This window comes from Homo sapiens, chromosome 13 (assembly GCF_000001405.40).
Source record: "Homo sapiens chromosome 13, GRCh38.p14 Primary Assembly".
Classification (NCBI taxonomy): domain Eukaryota; kingdom Metazoa; phylum Chordata; class Mammalia; order Primates; family Hominidae; genus Homo; species Homo sapiens.
Window position 1 is genome coordinate 87,368,416 of NC_000013.11, and position 21,299 is coordinate 87,389,714.

The 21,299-nt window shown below is 35.1% G+C and overlaps 1 long non-coding RNA gene and 1 pseudogene across 2 annotated transcripts in view; one reads left to right on the forward strand and one right to left on the reverse strand.

Moving 5' to 3' along the window:
• The window catches only part of LOC105370302 (uncharacterized), a 112,367-nt gene that overhangs the window by 34,399 nt on the left and 56,669 nt on the right, over positions 1-21,299 (forward strand). Inside the window, exon 5 of one of the 2 annotated variants that reach the window (XR_001749950.1) lies at positions 4,457-4,489. The exons of the other annotated variant lie outside the window; for it this stretch is intronic. This is a non-coding gene — a long non-coding RNA (uncharacterized LOC105370302). Of the gene's footprint in view, positions 1-4,456; positions 4,490-21,299 lie in introns of those variants that run through there. 2 annotated transcript variants of the gene reach the window in all.
• LIN28AP2 (LIN28A pseudogene 2) lies at positions 11,051-12,269 on the reverse strand (annotated as a pseudogene).

The following is a 21,299-nucleotide window of genomic DNA, read 5'->3' on the forward strand; positions in this document are numbered from 1 at the left end:
CTCAAGCTTCAGAAATGGTGGATGACCCTCCCCCAGCCTCGCTGTCACCTTGCAGTTGGATCTCAGACTGCTGTGCTAGCAGTGAGTGAGCCTCCATGGCTGTGGGACCCTCTGAGACAAGCACAGGATATAATCTCCTGGTGTGCCATTTGCTAAGGCTGTTGGAAAAGCACAGTATTAGTGTGGGAGTCTCCTGATTTTCCAGGTACCGTCTGTCATGGCTTCCCTTTGCTAGGAAAGGGAATTCCTGGATCCCTTGTGCTTTCTGGGTGAGGCCATGCCCCACCCTGCTCCTTGGGCTGCACCCACTGTCTGACAAGCCCCAGTGAGATAAACCCAGTACCTCAGTTGGAAATGCAGAAATCACTTGTCTTCTGCGTTGCTCATGCTGGGAGCTACAGAGCTACAGACAGGAGCTCTTTCTATTCGGCAATCTTGGAACCTCTCCAGTATTTCATTTTGTGTAGAAATACTGATAGGTATACTGCATAGCTACCTTTTTTATTCCACATTATTGTTTACATTGTTTACCTCTATTCTGTAAAAATTCTTTAAGAGGAATATATTTAAGTAAGATTTTTAAATTCCTCTTTTAACAGTAGAACAAAAATCTTTGCTTTATCTCTAACAGCAGTTATTTTTCACTTGCTTTAACGTTTTATTCAACATTTTGAAGGTAGCTGAGCCCTTAGAATTAAATATTTTTACTTGTTTTCTCCCATGTTTTGTAAATAATCCACCATGAAATTTGAGTAACAATTTTTAACTAAACATATTTGACTTCTTTTCCTTACTTAATGCTAATGTCTACTTAGCAAAATGTCTACATACCAGCGTATCAGAGTATAGATTGAATCCACACTATGGTTTTACCTATAATAGCCTCTGGATTTGTTCTTAAAATATACTTATTATTAGCTGCTTTTGTCTTAATCCTTGAGTTTGCAAAATCAATATGTGCCCATATTAACATAACAGGGCTTACATCAGTCAATGAAATTTGAATCTTTAATAGAACCTGCTTTATCTTCTATCTCTTACCAACCAACCCTTACACATAATATCAGAAAATACAATGAATAAATGTATAGGTGATAAATTCTTCCCCCTTTAAAACTCCTCTACAATGTTTTCTGAGAATTAGGAAGACTGTACAAGTTAAAAAGACAGTGCAATTGTGTATTCTTAAGAAGCTGTGTGAGTATGCATTTAGCAATTCTCTCAATAGCAATTTCCTAATCTGACCTTATCCATTTGTGATCTATTTTTATATTTAGATATAATTTGAAAAATAAAAGTTCGCATCCTTGCTATAGAGATAAGCAAGTATTTTTTTGATGATGAAATAAACATAAGATTACGCTAGCAATTTCACTCAAAATTGACAGATGAGATGATATATGCTATATATGATATGTGATATAAGCAATACATGTGTACATACCTAATATTGCATATGAAAAACACTGGAATATGATATACTTTTGGGAAATTGTATGTTTTCTGCCGATACCAAATTTAAGTACCAGTGATGGATATCACACTTTTCTCTTGTTTTTCTTTATTAGAATATCAGTATTCATTCCTTATTCATTTGTGTGTCATCGGCATTTACTGCACAGGCTTAACCTAAACATTAATAAAAAGAATCAATATTTATTAAACATTTTATAGAGTGTGGATCAAGTATCAACTCTGAAAATGATTTACTATATGTACAATTTAAGGAAACTACTTTATTTTTATATCAAACTTATTATCAAAAAGATAGCAATAATAATAGAACCTCTATCAAACCGTTGTATGAGAATTTAGAGAAATGACCTAAGTGAATTAGTGAGCAGAGATTTTGGCATACAGAAATTCCTCAATATTACACCGGCTATTCTGTACCAGACATAATACTAGGAACTTTAGGTTTACCATGTTATTTAACCCTACAACAATTCTCTGCAAGGTAAATAAACAAAGTAAATTTATATCAAATAAGATATAGCGCCAGTAATTAACTTCAGAGAAGGCTGACCCAAAGCCTACACTGTAATATTTCTATTTCATCCTTGCTTAGTGTTTAACAGATAAATGATTAAATATATATAGTCATAGGATTCCTTATGAAGAAAATCTAGAATCCATGTGTACCAACACCACACATTTATTTAATGTTCATTGCTTGTTAAGTAAAGAGATAAGTGAGGGAAATGCAATTATAATTCACTTTGGAAGGTTTGAGACATATATATACACACAACACACACACACGTCTTATATATATATATACACACACACACACACATATACACACACACACTTTTAACAAAATTTTTTTGTATTTTTTACTCTAAAGGTTGACAAATGAAAGCAGCCTATAAATTAGAATCCATACCCAACACTTTGATAAGCTTTTAATTACTTATTCAGGAAGTGCTACTATATAGAGTATCAGGTGAAGTAGAGATCTTGCTAGACTATGAAGATATAAATTGACTTAGTACGCTCTAGAAAATAAGTTAAAATAATACATGCATTGGAACGGAATGGGACATATCAGGCAGAAGTAAACCTAGCATGCTTGAAATGAAAAGGCTAAGATTAATTTGGTTTAACAGATTCTTTATGTGGAAAGTAGTTGGAAAAATGTTAAGTCCAGACGATGATCATTTTGGACCAGGCTTTCACTGTCAAAATAGGGAGATTATTTTATATACGATATGATAAACATAAAGGTTTTACAGAGTTACATGGCATCAAGAAAACTAGATATAGATAGACAGATCTGCAAAGATTAGGAATATTGGGAGGAAAAAAATTGGAGTCTGTAGGATCACTTAAGTAACTACTGGAAAAATAAAAGCGCTGTGATATACTGATACACACTTTATAGATAAAAGATTTGGTATGGGTTTTAGATAATCTTGCACTTAGTAAATTGATACCAAAAATATAGACATAAAAGTGAAAACTTAAAAAAGTTATTTCTTAACCCTAAGGTTGATTAAAATTATAATTGTTTATGTTAAGTATAAGGAAAAATTTAACATCATTTGAAAAACACATTTTCTTATTAAAGGTATATGCATTATAAAACATTTTTCTAGTTTTTTATTAAAGTTTTCCAGAAATTCAAGGAATTCTGACCAATCTAAATAATCAGTGACTGATAGAAGGTTATTTATATTTAGTTTATTCGCTAATCATTTTTATCTAGCATTTATTTGATTGGACAAACAAAAAGACTTCTGCTTCATCACCTCATGGCTACCTTCTTCCTTTTCAGTTTTGTAAAAAGCCATTTTAGCTAATTCAAGCAATTCATAAAACTGCGTTTTCCCTATGACAAGCAAATAATTCATCTGGGACTATGAATTATTTTTGCTTCTTCACTTTCTATAGAAAACTGTCCATCCCAATAATAAATACTAATAAAATGATACTAGCTAGTATTTTGTTTATTCCTCATTATGTACCAGGCATGTTTTAAGCACTTTACATATATCAATTAATTTACTCCTTCTAACAAATATAATGCATAGATAACAATTTTCCAAATTTCCACATGTGAAAATTGAATTACGGAGTCATTTCATTTTGTTTCCAGTGTGTCTGTTGCCAGCTCAACAGCTTAAATTTGGCCCTTCTGTACCAATGGGAGTCATGTTTCTTTAGATGGCAGGTTCATAATTCCATTCTTTGACTCTGAGTTCACTGAAAACATCTAATTAGAAGAAGAATAAAGCTTTTTCTTTGACTATTAGGTTTATAGGCTGCTTTCATTTGTCAACCTTTAGAGTAAAAAGTAGAAAAAAATTTTGGTAAAAGTGTGAGAAAAAGAAGCTTCACAAGTAAAATCCAATTACAGGAAACAGTGTTTACTTTTGGTTTGCATTTTGCTATATATTTTGACATTCTATTTTAAAATGAGCATATATAAAATAGAGAGAATATTATAATTAACCCCCATATATCTGATTTGATAGGAAATTTAACATTTTGCCATATTTAATTAATTTTTTGCTGAAGTTTTATAATGCATAGCTCTGATATTATGGCATTTTACACCAAAATTCTTCATTTTGTCTCGGCAAGAGTACAGGTATATTCTTATACAATCAAAATATCATTATCAACTGTAACAAAATTAGCAACAGCAATTTAATAATCTCATCTAATATACAGCCCATCTTCAAGATTATTTTCTGATTTTCTTTCACATATATGAAAGTACTTTTTTATCATCACTATATTTTAATTAAAGTACACATAGGGCATTAGACATTATGTCTCTTAAATCTTTTAATTTTGAATATCACCTATTTTTATGCCATTAACTGGCTTACTTGTCTTACAGAATTTCCTGCATTCTAACTTATCTTGTTGCCTTCTTATTGTTTAGCATGTTCCTCTGCCCCCTGTGTATACCATAAACTGAAAATTCATTTTCCATTTGTCATTGCAGAAAAAAAAGGAAAAAAATTGCATATGGTTTACTTCATGTTTCAGCAGGTAGGTGTATAAAATGCCTGGTTGTCCCATGATTAGTGAAGTTAATTTTGTTAGTGGTTTCAGGTGGTAGAATATGAGTCCTGGCTGGTAAAGATGCTTTTTCCCTATGACCAGCAAATCATCGGCAGGTGAAATTTGGCAAGCTCTGGGAGTTATTTTCTCATAAATATTTTATGTAAGTTTTTTTTAAGTACTCATTTATGTTCTTTATGTTCTTTTCTTGAATCAATTATTTCTTTAGTGTTTGCTAAATGGTGACTGTACCGATTTTGCTTTTCCTTCTGCATTCATTAGTTCATAATATTCTACAAATAAAGACTTGCTCTAATCAGAAGATATGGCTTAAAAACCATAACCATGAAGGTAAATTAAGCAAGCAACTGCAAATATAAATATATGTAATAGTTACATATATATATATATACACACACATATATATATACACACACACATATATATAGACATTTCAGAGTAAAAAAAAAGACCTATTTAGCATTACTTACCATTTCCTCAACTTATTCCTTAAATGATCTAAATTTAGTGCATGTTCTTTGCATAATACCATTTGTGCATATATATGTACATAATCACAAGAAAATTCAAACGACTATATATTCATAAAAGTTATTAGGTGTACATATATATTTGCAAGTCAGGCAGAGTAAGTGTTGAGACAAGAATGATCTGATTAATATTATTATAAGGATCCATCAAAATGCTTCATACCTTCAAATAATTATGTATTAAATTCACACTGTGATGAATTATCTCCAGGGAATATATTTATGATTTTAAGAGGCATCTGTTACAAATTAGAAAGGAAAAAATAACATTCTGAAGCCAGCTTTTTATCAAAATCATTTTGACAGCTCCAGGCTTCCTACAGATTGAATTCACCTGAAAGGCAACAAATAACGTTTATGTCAACTGTAAGGAAATAATCAGTGTGAGGCTTGGAATTGTTAGAAGGAAATATCATTTTTGGTACATAATTTTATTATATCAAAGCATGCAAAACTTTCTTATACATAAGAAAAATTAAGATGTTATTGAAAGGTGGTAATATTAAAGATATATTTGTATAGTTGAGATATTACATTTTGTTTCACTCAAAGTTTTTTATCTTCAGTAAATTATGACTATCAAAAATCAATAGTTTTATTTTAAAAACATATAATATTGGTTTGCCTTATATAAGTTTACCCCATTAATAAAGAATTATACATATCTTTACTTAAGACTTCAAATTTACTTTAAAAAATTATATAAAAATTGAGCCATTTATTTTATAAAATTGAGCTATCAGACTTACAAATCTTTTAACTAACTATCTGACTTAAGAAAGAAAACCTAATCACTATTAACTAGACATTCATTATCTAAAAAACAAAGTGTTACACATTCTACAAAAGTAAATACGCCAGGACAGTAAAAGTATTCAATTTATAAAAGATAGAGCGAATACGCATATACATACGACAAAAAAAAGTATGTGAACAATGCATATTATAATCCAAATATCTGGAAGATAAACAGAAACAAACTAAAGCAACATTTCTTATTGTTGGAGTGGAGTGGGTTATTAAGGATTAGCTTGAGGCCAGTTGCGGTGGCTCACGTCTGTAATCCCAGCACTTTAGGAGGCCGAGGCAGGCAGACACGAGGTCAGGAGATTGAGACCATCCTGGCTAACATGGTGAAACCCCGTCTCTACTAAAAATACAAAAAATTAGCCAGGCGTGGTGGCAGACGCCTGTAGTCCCAGCTACTCGGGAGGCTGAGGCAGGAGAATGGCGTGAACCCGAGAGGCGGAGCTTGCAGTGAGCCGAGATTGCGCCATTGCACTCCAGCCTGGGCAAGAAAGCAAGACTCTGTCTTAAAAAAAAAAAAAAAAAAAAAAAAGAAAAAAGAAAAGAGAAGAAAAGCTTGAATGATCAAGCAGTAATCGATTAGTTTTTGATATATCAGTATAAGTTTATGTTAAGATACATGCACATGGATACATTAAAAATATCTATAGATATGTGTATATACACAGGTTAGTAATACACATGTATATTTTCTTGTGTAGAAATCCTAGAAGGAATTACAGCCCAGGAGCATAGTACTTTTCTTTCTAATATCGTTCTCCAATGAACGGTACCAGGGCTTTTTAGATAAGTGGCTTATTTTAGCACAATGACGAGGTATGTATGATATGAGCCTGGGGTATCTTTTAGTGCCAGAACGTAAGACAATATTAAAATTAAAAAGTCCAAAGGAACAAAGAAACCAGTGAAAGAGCTGAGGATGAGCAAGGCTGGAAAATTCAACAAAAAATAAACAGAGTGGTATTGGATTATAATAACTCAATGTAAACTTTATGAATCTACTGAAAAAAACTAAATATGAAAAAAACACAAATATCTTGTACCAAAGAATATTAAGTAATTGATGGCAGACAGCTCTTAATTTCCCACTCACTAAAAGTTTCCTGCACATATTAACTTCTTGCAGAGTACTGTATAGAAAGTGGGAGAGGAAAGAATAACTAAGTAAAGAGCTAATGAACTCAGGTAATCAAGATGAAAACTCATAGTGGTAAGTCTTGTTAGTCACGTTGATTGTGTGTACCATTAATGTGATTTGATGAGAAAGACATTTTACCTCTGTGGCCTTCTTCCCCAAATTACATAACCCCAGTTTAATCATTAGACAAGCATCAGGTTAATCTCATTTGAGTGAAATCTACAAAATACCTATCCAGTATTTTCTCCTCATTAAATTGAAAAATAATAAAAAATAGGCCGGGCGCGGTGGCTCACGCCTGTAATCCCAGCACTTTGGGAGGCCGAGGCGGGCGGATCACGAGGTCAGGAGATCGAGACCATCCTGGCTAACACGGTGAAACCCCGTCTCTACTAAAAATACAAAAAATTAGCCGGGCGTGGTAGCGGGCACCTGTAGTCCCAGCTACTCGGGAGGCTGAGGCAGGAGAATGGCGTGAACCCGGGAGGCGGAGCTTGCAGTGAGCCGAGATCGCGCCACTGCACTCCAGCCTGGGCGACAGAGCGAGACTCCGTCTCAAAAAAAAAAAAAATAAATAAATAAAAAAAAATAAAAAATAAAGTCTTAGAAACTGCCACAGCTATGAGGAGCCTAAAGAGACGTAATGACTAAATGTAATTTGGTATCATGATTGGAATCATGGCACAGCAAAAATACATTATAAAATAAATAAATATGGCAGATAGTCAATGGGATACTATTGAAGCATGAAAAAAAATGAAATCCTGTGATTTGAGACAGTGTGAATGAATGTGAAGGGTTATTAGGTTAAGTCAAAGAAGTCAGGCACACAAAGACAAGTACAGCATGATCTCATTCATTTGGCATCTTTGAAAAAGCTGATCTCATAGACTTACAGAGTAGAATAGTGGTTACAAGAGGCTGGGGGAGGGTAGAAGGAAAAAGAGGTTGAAGAGAGATTGGTCAATGACTAGAAAATCGTAGGTAGATAGGAGAATAAGTTTTGATGTTCTATAGAATAGCAAGGTGACCATAGCTTAAAATATTGCATTGTGTACTTCCAAATAACTGTAAGAGAGGACTTTATTTATTTATTTATTTATTATTTTATTATTATTATACTTTCAGTTTTAGGGTACATGTGCACAACGTGCAGGTTTGTTACATATGTATACATGTGCCATGTTGGTGTGCTGCACCCATTAACTTGTCATTTAGCAATAGGTATATCTCCTAAAGCTATCCCTCTCCCCTCCCCCAACCCCACAACAGTCCCCAGAGTGTGATGTTCCCCTTCCTGTGTCCATGTGTTCTCATTGTTCAATTCCCACCTATGAGTGAGAACATGCGGTGTTTGGTTTTTTGTCCTTGCGATAGTTTGCTGAGAATGATGGTTTCCAGCTTCATCCATGTCCCTACAAAGGACATGAACTCATCATTTTTTATGGCTGCATAGTATTCCATGGTGTATATGTGCCACATTTTCTTAATCCAGTCTATCATTGTTGGACATTTGGGTTGGTTCCAAGTCTTTGCTATTGTGAATGGTGCCACAATAAACATAGAGAAATGCAAATCAAAACCCCAATGAGATACCATCTCACACCAGTTAGAATGGCAATCATTTAAAAAGTCAGGAAACAACAGGTGCTGGAGAGGATGTGGAGAAATAGGAACACTTTTACACTGTTGGTGGGACTGTAAACTAGTTCAATCATTATGGAAGTCAGTGTGGCGATTCCTCAGGAATCTAGAACTAGAAATACCATTTGACCCAGCCATCCCATTACTGGGTGTATACCCAAAGGATTATACATCATGCTGCTATAAAGAGAGGACTTTAAATGGTCTCAACACAGAGAAACAATATATATATATATTTTTTTTGAGATGGAGTTTCACTCTTGTTGCCCAGGCTGGAGTGCAATGGCGTGATCTAGGCTTACTGCAACCTCCACCTCCTGGGTTCAAGCAATTATCCTGCCTCAGCCTCCCGAGTAGCTGGGATCACAGGCTCCCGCCACCATGCCAGGCTATTTTTTGTGTTTTTAGTAGAGACAGGGTTTCACCATGTTTACCATGCTAGTCTCAAGCTCCTTACCTGGTGATCCACACACCTCAGCCTCCCAAAGTGCTGGGATTACAGGTGTGAGCCACCATGCCTGGCCAAAGAAATAATAAATATTTTAGGTGATGAGTATGCTGAATACTCTGATTTGATCATTCCACAATATATACATGCATCAAAACATCACACTGTATCCCACAAATAGGTACAATGATTACGTGTTAAATAAAACACAATAGAACTACAAAAGGAAAGAAATAATGGCTTTAATGAATAGTAATATATCAATATTGGTTCATTAACTGTGATAAATATACCATACTCATATAAATCCTTAATAACATGGGAAATTGAGTGTGGGATAATACCAACTCTCCATACTATCTTCATAAACTTTCTATGAATCTAAAACTATTCTGTAATTAAAAAGTATATTTTAAAAAGTTTATGGACTTAAATGTAATGTAGAGTACTTGTTTAGATCCTGAAAAAAAAAGAATAAGTAATATAGCTAATACTATACCTACTTTAATTTTATAATTTTGTCAAATGTGCTATGGTTATGTAAGTTGTTAACATTAGGGGAAGCATGGAAAAGACATCTTTTTTTTTTACTACCATTAATTTTTTTTATTACTCTATAATTGTTTCAAAATAAAAAGTATATTAAGAAATATAAATTATCTTAAAAGTTATCCTTATAAGTTCACAGTTTTTTAGAGAAACACACACACACACACACACACACACAATCCCCTGTTGTGTGTCGTAGGCCTAGCCTAATCCTGTGAAGAATGGACCTGGTATGTAAAACATGTCCTGTGTCCTAGAATTAGACAACCCTCACCTAACCTTGGCTTCTGCTCTGGCCCAGCCTCTCCTAACCTCTCTGCACCACCTTTTCCCGTTTAGACTAATTTCCAATCTTCCAGAAGGAAATGATCAAGTCATAGAGCAACCCAGTTAAAACTAAGTTTCCCATGAAACATTTTCAAGGTGGAGAGGGTTTCAAGAGGACACTATGGCCAAAAAGTCAGCTCTCATTGGCAAAAATGATGTAGTTCAATAGGCTGTGCACTCCAAGTAGTTACTCTCCAAGGTAATAAAAACAACAAAAAGTATTCCTGGTGTGCAGACCTGGAGCTTCTGGTGTCTTATCCCTAAGATTGCTCATGTACCTGAGAATTCAGTGCAGGAATGAGGGCCTTAAATTGAAATATACAAAAATACAAAACTACAATGGTTATATTAAGGAAAAAAATTCAAATGAACAAGATACATCATTTGCACACAGCTAGTGTACAGTTGGCATCCCGAAGAAAGTGAGACTCAAGGTGCAGTATCCAAGGGAGTGAATAAACAAAATCACATTGATCAGAATGGGGTAGGGGTGGAGGTAGTCAATCATAGGAGCAGCAGATCTGCAGCTGTTTCCCAACCATCGCTTTCACCTTCATCACTATTCATTGTTTGGGACAGTTCCCAACACCCTATCCCAAGAGTGAGTATGAGGATACAAGATGTGAAAACAAAACAAAACACTGCTTTACTCCTAAGAGATTTTCTCCCGCATAACGTAGTGGCTTGGATACATAAATCTCGTCCTACACCCAATCCTTTCATTCTAGCATAGGAATTATTATTATACCTTCATGTAAAGGAAAATGACTTTCCTGTCCAGGCCATTTTCAAAAGCTGAGAATTCTGGGGATGGGGCCTCTGATAAAGCATAAAGGTTCTCCGCTGATTTCTTCCCAAAAGCGCTCACTGTATTTGGACAGAACATGGTTGGAGTTCCTTTGCTTCACGTGTTCCCCTGATCAAGGGGGAAGAAGAGGGGATGCTGTGAACCACAGCCCGAGATCCATGACAGTGACACCTAGCCCCAGTCCACCCTATTACCACTCTCTCCACTCTTCCTGCTGCTTGAAAATTCCTGGTAGCAAAAGAAGAGCCTCCACCCATAGTGGCTCAATTCTGGGCCTCAGGGAACAGGGCACAGCTGTGTGTATCTTCCTCTTCCTCCCCAAAATAGGCTGGCTTTCCCTGTGTGCTAGGGGCTTGCTGGGCCTTCAGCAGATATGAGGCAACGGTATGACTGATGCTCTGCACAGTGGTGCTTCTTGGGCTGATGTGGCAGCTGGCATTCCTTGGCATGATGGTTTAGATCTCCACTCTTGTGCCACCTGCCTGCCTCTTTTTTTTGTTTTGTTTTGTTTTGTTTTTTTTGAGATGGAGTCTCACTCTGTTGCCCAGGCTGGAGCGCAGTGGCATGATCTCGGCTCACTGCAACCTCCGCCTCCCGGGTTCAACAGATTCTCCTGCCTCAGCCTCCCAAGTAGCTGGGATTACAGGTGAATGCCACCACGCCCAGCTAATTTTTTGTATTTTCAGTAGAGATGGGTTTTCACCATGTTAGCTAGGATGGTCTCAATCTCCTGACCTCGTAGTCTGCCTGCCTCGGCCTCCCAAAGTGCTGGGACCTGCCTCCTTTTGATATCTGCATTTTTCTCCCCTTTGTCTGCCTCTCATTTTCAATACAGAACATCCCACTAGGTCTGGTGACACAGATAGATTTCAGACCCTTGGTAGACTTCTTACAGGTGAAGTCCACTGCCTCATCCTCCTTCCAGCTCTGGAAGCCCTCCACGTGCAGCTTACTCTGGTGCACAATGATGTCCACTGGGAGCTCAAGTGCAACTCCAGAGCAGGTGGTCACGGACAGGAAGCTCAACCCAGTGCACACCTTGAACGATTTATAGATAGTTTTAAGATGGGAACAAGAGATGGAAGTTTCTTAGCTTCTTCAGGATTTTTGCATAATTGGTTTAAGAGTTGTGGAGATCATCCAAAAATTAAATGTGCATGCATGTGGGTGTGTAGGTTTTCTTTTTGAGAGAGATGGAAAAGAAGGCAAAGTAGGAGACATATTTTTAGAACAGATGTGGTCCAATAGGTAAAAGGAGATGGGGAACACAAAAGAAAGGATGGTTCAAGATCTCCACTTTAAGAATCAGAATGGATTCTTCTGTGTACAGCCTGTGCTGTCAAGGGATGGATATACAAAGCAAGGACTAAAATCCTCAACATTTCAAAATGTGGGGGTTCCAGGGAGACCCACAAATGGGGGTTCTTTGTGGTGCCTGAAGCCACTGTTCTGCCCTGCTGCAGTGATGATCAGTAGTGTCATGGTAGCTAAAGGAGTAAAAAGAGAGTTTCATTTGCTCACTGTAAGATCACTGCAAACCTACTTTCCTGTGTTGAATTGGGAAGAATGCAATAGAGCTCCTTGGGTGGTGTGGGTTTGATCCTGGGTTCTTGTCTCCCAAATGCTGCCCCCATTCTAGTTTTTGTATTTCTCTGGGCTTTTAGAACATCACTGAATTGGTGATTGCCAGATGGCCTAGTTTGTGTAAATATAATGTGTTGGTCTTTCTCTATGTTCTTTGGGGTTTATGTTTACAAACATTTTGTATTGACAGAAACATAGCCAAAGCATTCAAAGATGGTTGGGTACCAGACAAAAATATCTGAGACATTAGTTTTTGGGGCCGCCTTCTTAAAGTGGAGACCTTGAACCATCCTTTCTTTTGTGTTCCCCATCTCCTTTTACCTGTTGGACCACATCTGTTCTAAAAATGTGTCTCCTACTTTGCCCTCTTTTCCATCTCTCTCAATAAGAAAACCTATACACCCACATGCATACACATTTAATTTTTGGATGATCTCCACATCTTAAACCAATTATGCAAAAATCCTGAAGAAGCTAGGAAACTTCCATCTCTTGTTCCCAAACTCCTGAGTCAAGACCATTTTTTGATGTGACTCGTGACAAACACTTAAGATACTGCTTTATTTTGTTTGGATCCATCCTACTTAATCCTTAATCCTAAAGCAGAGAAAAGTAATTGAGGACCTTTCAGGAAGAAGTGGGGTAAGGAGGCCAAGAAAGGGAATATGAATATGTATCCAAGTGACTCAGGAACTTTTATGCAGGTGCAAGAAACATGTCAAAGTGGCCACAAGATTGTTTAGTAGGAGACATATGGATGTAACGTCTTGTTGACTGGTAGAAACCAAAGATTTGTGTGAAACTATTAATTTATGGGGAGAGAATGGGAGGGTAGGAAAGCCTATATCTCTCTGTTCTTTTCCTGATCCTTTCCCCTCATTCCTGAACTGTAGGAGACTGAGCCCCTTTGGACTTTGGTGACCCCCATCGCTGGGTGTGTTTATTTGATGGTTTATTTTGCTGTACTGGAAACTTTCTTATTTTCTAATCATTTTGTAACACACATGTTGACTTTTTCACTTCTCTTCTTTCCTGGGAAAATACGATGAATAAATAAAGACTTATTGGAACTGGGAAAAAAATAGAACTGAGCACAAATACAAAACAGATTCTGGAAAACTAACAAGTATTTAATATATTTAAAGATACTTCAATGCATGGATCATAGGAGTTCCTATAGGTAAAAAAACAAAGGGACACACAAAAAAATCCTAAAAACCGTAACCCAAGAAAAAAAATTAAATAGTGTTGGGGCTGCATATACAAGAAGAGCACACCACTAACTTGAGAATATCAACCCAGAATGACCAATACCATGAGAGATTCCAGTAAAATTACTGTATTTTAAGAAAAAATATCAAAACACTTAAGCATCTAGACAAAGAGTAAATGGCATAGAAAAGGAAAGAAATGAAATATCAGAAAACATCATTATAATGCTTTATAGCCAAAGAAGATGGTATAAAACATTTAAAGAAATCAAAGAAAATATCAAAGAAAAAAACGTGAGCCAAAGATTTTATGACCAACAAAAGTAACTATCAAGTATGATGACCACAGACAAATTGTTATCAACATGCAAAAACTGAGGGAATGTTTTCATGAGCACTTCCTGAGCAATCTAGCAGAGCAAGCAGTAGAAAACTATAATTCATGGGCCAAACTGCTTTGATTCTGTTTTTTTTTTTTAATAAGGAGTTATATTTACACAGTCATGTTCACTTATTAACACATCCTTTAATAGTGCTTTCACAGTAGAATGGCATACCTGTGTAATTGCGAGAGAGAATATATGGCCTAAAAAAACCCTTAAATGTATACTATCTAGTCCTTCATGATAACAAGTTTTCTGACCCATGAATGAATAATGAACTTCTGATAAGCTACAAAGAATAGTATGTAGTGGATTTGTGTTCTATCAATGTATATAATGTGACTTGTAAGTGGAGGGGGAAGAATGAATAGAGTATATATAAAATTTATTAAACCATATATCATATTTTATCTATACATATATCTATTGATCTATGTATTTATTTGTCCATCTATCCTATCATCCTGATTGTTCAGTTTCATTGGAGAACTCTGACTGATACATATTAATAGTACTAATATGGCTATGCTTCAAATACTGTATATTTCAACATAGCAAATAATTAATTATGGTATATTCGATTTCCATATTCTCTGTAATCTTGAGAACCAGTACTGTCAGTGAGTAAGAGAGGAGACATAGGTGCAATTCAGTGGTATTTTAGTAAAAATCCTGTAGTTAAGAGTTTGGATTGAAATTATCCACATGAATATGAAACATATTTTATAGTGTTTGTGTATGCTTGTGTGTATTATATATTTTTCTATGTGACCACTGAAAATGCTTAAAAACAATGAATAATAAAGTAGCAATGAGCATCTCTAGTTATCTGACTGTAGTCATAAAATGTCATCTCTTACTTAAAGAAAGCAGTGTTTCTTAGAAAAATGACTAATTCCAGTATTGGAGCAAAAATTTACAAGATGACCCTGGAGTATCTTGTTACATCAGATAGCAAGAAAGCTATCAGTGTTTATGGGGTACTATCAAAATGTTAAAACAAGAAACTGAAAAGATTTCTGCTGTCAAATATGACATCATTTGAGCTCATCAAATACAATAATTGCGACAAATTACAACATATGTGTTCAAATCCATTAGTTTATAATGATTATTAAAATATTAACAATTTCAGCATTTTCAAATATAGTGACTAAAACAAAATATTTATGTGGCCTTTTCTCTGTGAACCATACCACTAGATAATCAAAGGATAGATGAAGATAAGTGATGATTTATAACATGATTCAATATATAAATACAAACATATAACCGAATATTACCAATTGTCAGCCTCCAATAAATCAATGTATCTTGCAGTGAATATCAATGGCTAGTGATGTCCAAAAAAAAAAAAAAAAGGAATAGCAGATATAATGAGACTCCTTATGAAATAACATAACAACAATAATAATCTGGCCAAAGGGATGAAAATCAAGCTTAAATTAAACTCTGAGATTCTGTGACAATTTTGGAGAACTATGAAGAACAGAGGAACACGCTGAAATGCAACAACAGAATCCAGAAACTGTGGAAAACTCCATTGGTCAAAAGGAAGAGGCACTTTAACAGATACATAGTAAGGGGGAAATTACAAGATGGAGGGAGAACGTTTAAAGTAAAATATACCATACAGATCACAAAACTTCTAGTGTCTAGGTATACAAATTATACAAAAATTATAATAAAATTATTCAATAAGGTAAAATTATAAAGAAATGTAAGAATTGATGATTAAACAAGATAATGGTTACTTGTATGGGAAAAGAAGGATTTGATATTGGGACTGAACACAAGACAGGAATTTAATGGGGGGGTGGGCAAAGTTTTATTCCTTGAACTGGGTATTGGTTAGAATATTGTACACTTCATAAAAATGTATTAAACCATATTTTTATTTATTTATTTATTTATTTATTTATTTATTTATTTATTTATTTATTTAGTGAGATGGAGTATCGCTCTGTAACCCAGGCTGGAGTGCAATGTCAGGATCTTGGCTCACTGCAATCTCCTCCTCCTGGGTCCTGGTTCAAGCAAGACTCCTGCCTCAACCTCCCGAGTAGCTGGGATTACAGGCACGTGCCACCAAGACCAGCTAATTTTTGTATTTTTAGTAGAGACGGGGTTTCATCATGTTGGCCAGGTTGGTCTTGGACTCCTGACCTTGTGATCCGCCCACCTCGGCCTCCCAAAGTGCTGGGATTACAGGCGTAAGCCACGGCACCCAGCCATTAAACCATATTTTTACACGTTTTTCATGTATCTGTGTTTTATTTATAACAAATATATTGGGACCAAAGAACTCATAACCAGGTCAATGAGTATGTGCTATAATCTCAATTTATTCAAAATTGGCTTATAAACAGGAGATATTTTATATTTTTACATAATTGTAGAGATAGAGATATTTACTGTCACTCTATTTGAGTGCTTTAGTTAATTCTAGTTCAAGTTTTAAAATTTTTCATTTGCATTTATAAAATTTTGAAACATAATATTCTTATCTATTTTCTGTAATGTAGCATAATTTCTAGGTACACTTTTAATACATTGGCTGAGTATTAATTGATTCAACATAACTGTCATTTCTGTGGAGGAACTTTTTGCTTTGGGCTTGCCTATCATTCTTAATTACTTTCTGAAAATGTCCCCGTCTGCCATTCTCTCAGTCCATATGAATAAGGAAGGTCTCCAGCCCTGGTACTGCACTTAGGACAAGTGATCCACATTATGCCAACTGAAGAACCAAATCCTCCCATCCACAGTGGATTTTATTGAGAGAACACCAGATGATATGGTGGTTCTAGTCCGTTTATATAGATCTATATCCTGGCCATAGCATTTATTTCAGGAATAGGCCTAGTAACCATTTTGTAAGCAAGCCAATCGTGAAAAGTGTGTGATAATATACTAAAATAGAACTCTCTTATTTTGCTATTGGATGTCTAGGTGGATGTAGGATTGGGACTGTGGGAAGAATTATGACTGGGCAAAATTATGCCTTCATTTCAAACTGGAGAAAAGCCACATGTTAAGGAGAGAGAACGGACTCTGTTTCTTAACCTGTTTGACACTAGGTTAAGATAGAACTGTTTACATTATAATTTCTCACTTTTCAATTACGTAATATAATCATCTCTAATGGAGTTGTATTTTTTGACAAATTATTAGAGTCACCATGTTGCATTTGAACACTAGCATGTCCAAATAACAATTTGTTATGACAGTTATCCTTGAATCTATTTAAACATATTAAATATATCAGGGCATTTGATAAACAATGTTTGGTAAAATATTTTGTCAAGCATTGTGGTAAATTAATAAAATTTTACAACATTGTTGAATTTAGAATCTTACATCCTTGTTCATTTATTTGAAAAGGCTTTAGTATTCTCTACTATGTGAAGTATGAAATATGCAGTTCTAGGTGTGAGAAATGTGACCCGTGTGAGACCAATCTAAGACTGAAGGGATGTAACAGGAAGAGACATAAAGGTGAAGAAAGTAAGATCTTTCATTTCAAGGACCTTATGATCACCCACACACACACACACACACACACACACACACCAACAGTACATATAAACACACACACAATGTCTTATGAAAACATAAGTTCATAATTGTTACTTGCCTAACTTCTTCATTCAGCTGTATCCTATCTTAAACTTTTACTGCTGTGACACCATGTCTTTTATTTGGTTTCTTAGAAGGAGAGCCTGAGATGAAAATTCTTGTTCAAATTATTTAAATGGTTGATCTCAACGAGGAGAGTGAATGAAGCAGGCTAGAAAACAGAGAGAAAAGCTAAACAAATGTGAGTTATCATTTGAGGACTAAAACACTGAAACACTTGGAAGTTATGAAGCAAAATTTGTACCACAGACATACTCCCTCTTTAAAGCAACAGGGGGAATGTGTATCGTATGTGTCACTCAGACATTGGCAGAGATCAGCCTGCAGAAGTGAAATTGGTTTAGCCTGCAGGGGATAAACATAAGGGTGCAAGGGCCAATTCTCCAGAGAAACAGGAAGACATGAGTTGCTATCAGCCATTATTTTCACTCATTGGCGATGGGTGTCACAGCCAAAATGAATCTAGCAGGGGACTAGTAGCATCCACCTCTTCATGTTTATCAAAGTTAATATAGTTGAAGGTATATTGCTTCTCTCTACCTAGGCTGCCTATCAAACCCTGCCGTGCCAGAGAAAGTTGGGCCCTGCTTAAGTGTTGTTTATACAGCACTTTATGCCTCTAGGATCAATTATCACAGTAAATATAATCACTCTCTTTTCTTTTCTTTCTTCTCCTTCTTCTTTTTTTTTTTTTTGGTAAGACACAGAACTTCTCTGTCTCCCAGGCTACAGTGCACGATCTCAACCACTGCAACCTCTGCTTCTCGGTTCGAGAGATTCTCCTGTCTCAACTTGCCAGGTAGCTGGGATTACAGGAGTGTGCCACAATGCCCAGATAGTCTTTTGTACTTTAGTAGAGACAGGGGTTTCACTATGTTTGCCAGGCTGGTCCCGAACTCCTGACCTCAAGTAATCTACCCGAAGTGCTAGGATTACAGGTGTGAGCCACCGTGCCCGGCCTAATCATTTTCTTCGAAGTAGGTCTTCACAAGTCTGAGACTTACTTGAGGATAATAATTAAGTCTGATTAATCTTTATTTCCTCAGACCAAATGCAGTAATTAAATGATATATTATTGTAGATTACATATATGTTGTATTTTAGTTTTTTCAAGAAGTTGATAAAATGACAAACACAAAACTGAAATTTGGATATATAGCCCAGTTGGTATAAAATAGTGCTTTAGAGGTGAGTCTCTTGGAGTAAGTAAACTACTGTTCAAATGTTTGACAGAGAAGTTCTTTTAACTCCCTAAGCTTCAATTGCTTAATTTTACATTTTTACAATTAGAATTTTATATTAATTTTATAAGGATGAAAAGTATTGCCATGATCCTGTTTCTTGAACTAATTGAGAAAATGTATATAAAAGGGATTCGTATAGTAAGTAGAATGGTAAATATTAAGTGTTGAGCATATGCTAGATATTTTAATGATGATTGTAGGAAAAACCATGGTTGCAAGAAAATTCCAAGTATCAAAATCTCATGTTGATATTTCATGCTTTAAGTAATTTTAAAGAATCAACAGATAAAAAGTAGCACGTTAGACCTGAATTTGATATTTTCTGAATCTGTTTTATTAGATATTCAGATTCATGGCACATGACACAATGGATCATGAATATTGTTGCTTTATCTGAAGCTAGACATATCATTCAGATCTGTATGTATTCTCATTGCTGAGCATAGAGTTTATCCTGGCAATGTCAATATAACATATTCATGTAATCATGGAATTATTCTCTAAATGGGAGCTTCATGTTTAGTCTCATATGGTTCTATCAGTTTATAAAATATATCTCAGGAGTGACAGGAAACATGAAAAAGAAAGTACCTTGCATAATGAAGACCTAACTCCTGCAGCTTTTTTAATTAATTCAGTTTCTTTAATTAATTATCCTTTAAGACTGTGCCCGCCGTAGCTATGTTTCACTCTGCCAGAACACTAGCAAAGATCACCAGACTGTTTCTGAGACAGTTTTTTAAATTTTTTTAGAACTGAAAAATATGAATTCATTTAATAAATTGCCCCATCCAAAATTATGCCAAGAACACTTTGAGATGGTGATGGCTGCAATGCATTCTTTCTTCTGAAATCTTTGCTAAGAAACCACATTAATAACTTAAACCTCTAATTACAGATGAAAGGCTTGTATTTCATTTTGCCTTTTATACCTGTTTTCAAATGTTCTATTTGCTTTCCACAACTTCTTATTCATCAAAATTTGGGAAGCTATGAATTAGAGGTTTGAGGATTATGTAATTCAGAAAAAAACTGCCTAGTTTTTCATTGTCATTAAAAGCTATGAATAAATTAAAATAGTGTAAAAATGTGTTGGATTAATCCACATTTGGTTGGTTTAAAGTAACATAATACATGTGTATGCATGTCTGTCTGTGTGTGTGTACTTTATCACAATAATGAATATTGCTGGAAAGTGAATGTGCTGGAATAGCTTCAGAGAGCTTATCTCCATATATTTTCTTAATTGGCACATTATTGTACATATTTATGGGCTACAGTGTGAGATTTTCATACGTGTATTCAATGGGTAATGATCAAATAAGGGTAATTAGCATATCCACCAACTCAAACAATTATTATTTATTTGTGTTGGGGACATTCAAAGTCCTCTCTTCTAGCTATTTGAAAATACGCTATAAATTATTGTTAATTGTAATCACTCTACAGTACTATAGAAAACTAGAAACTATTGCTTCTATCTAGCTGTAATTTTATACCCCTTAACCAAACTCTCCCTATCCTGCCCTCACCACTACCTTTCCCAGCCTCTAGTAAGCATTATTCTACTCTACTTCCATGAGAGCAATTTATTTTTGCTTTCACATACAAGTGAGAATGTGCAGTATTTATCCTTCGATGCCAGGCTTATTTCACTTATCTTAATGTCCTCCAGGGTTATCCATATTGCCATGAAAGGCAGGATTTCGGTTTTTCTTATAGCGAAATAGCATTTCATTGTGTGTGTGTGTGTGTGTGTGTGTGTGTATGTATATATATATAAAATATTTTTAATACATTCATCTATTAATGGACAGTTAGTTTGATTCCATGTTTTGAGTATTATGAATAGCACAGCAATAAACATGAGAGTGCTGATATCTATTTCACATATTGATTTCCTTTCCTTTGGATATATACACAGTAGATGGATTGGTTGATTTAATGGTAGTACCATTTTTAGTTTTTTGAAAAACTTTTATAGTGTTTTCCATAATGGCTATGCTAATTTACATTACCACCAACAGTGTATAAGTGTTATCTTTCTTTTCTCCACATTCTCACCAGTATTTGTCATTTTTTTCTCTTTTTGTAAGTAGCCATTGTAATGTGAGTGAGGTCATATCTCATTGTGGTTTTGATTTGCATTTCTATCATGATTAGTGATGTCGATTATTTTTTATGCACTTGTTGGACATTTGTATGTTTTCTTTTCAGAAATGTCTATTCATATAATTTGCTCATAAGTAAACCAATTTATTTGGTATTTTGCTGTTGAGTTGTTTGGGGTTTTGTGTATTATAGATATTAATCCTTTATCAGATGAATGGTTTGTAAGTATTTTCTACTATTCTGCAGGTTTTCTCTTCACTCTGTGGATTGTTTCCTTTGCTGTGCAGAAGCTTTTTAGTTTGATATAATGCCTCTTGTCTATTTTTGCTTTCATTGGCT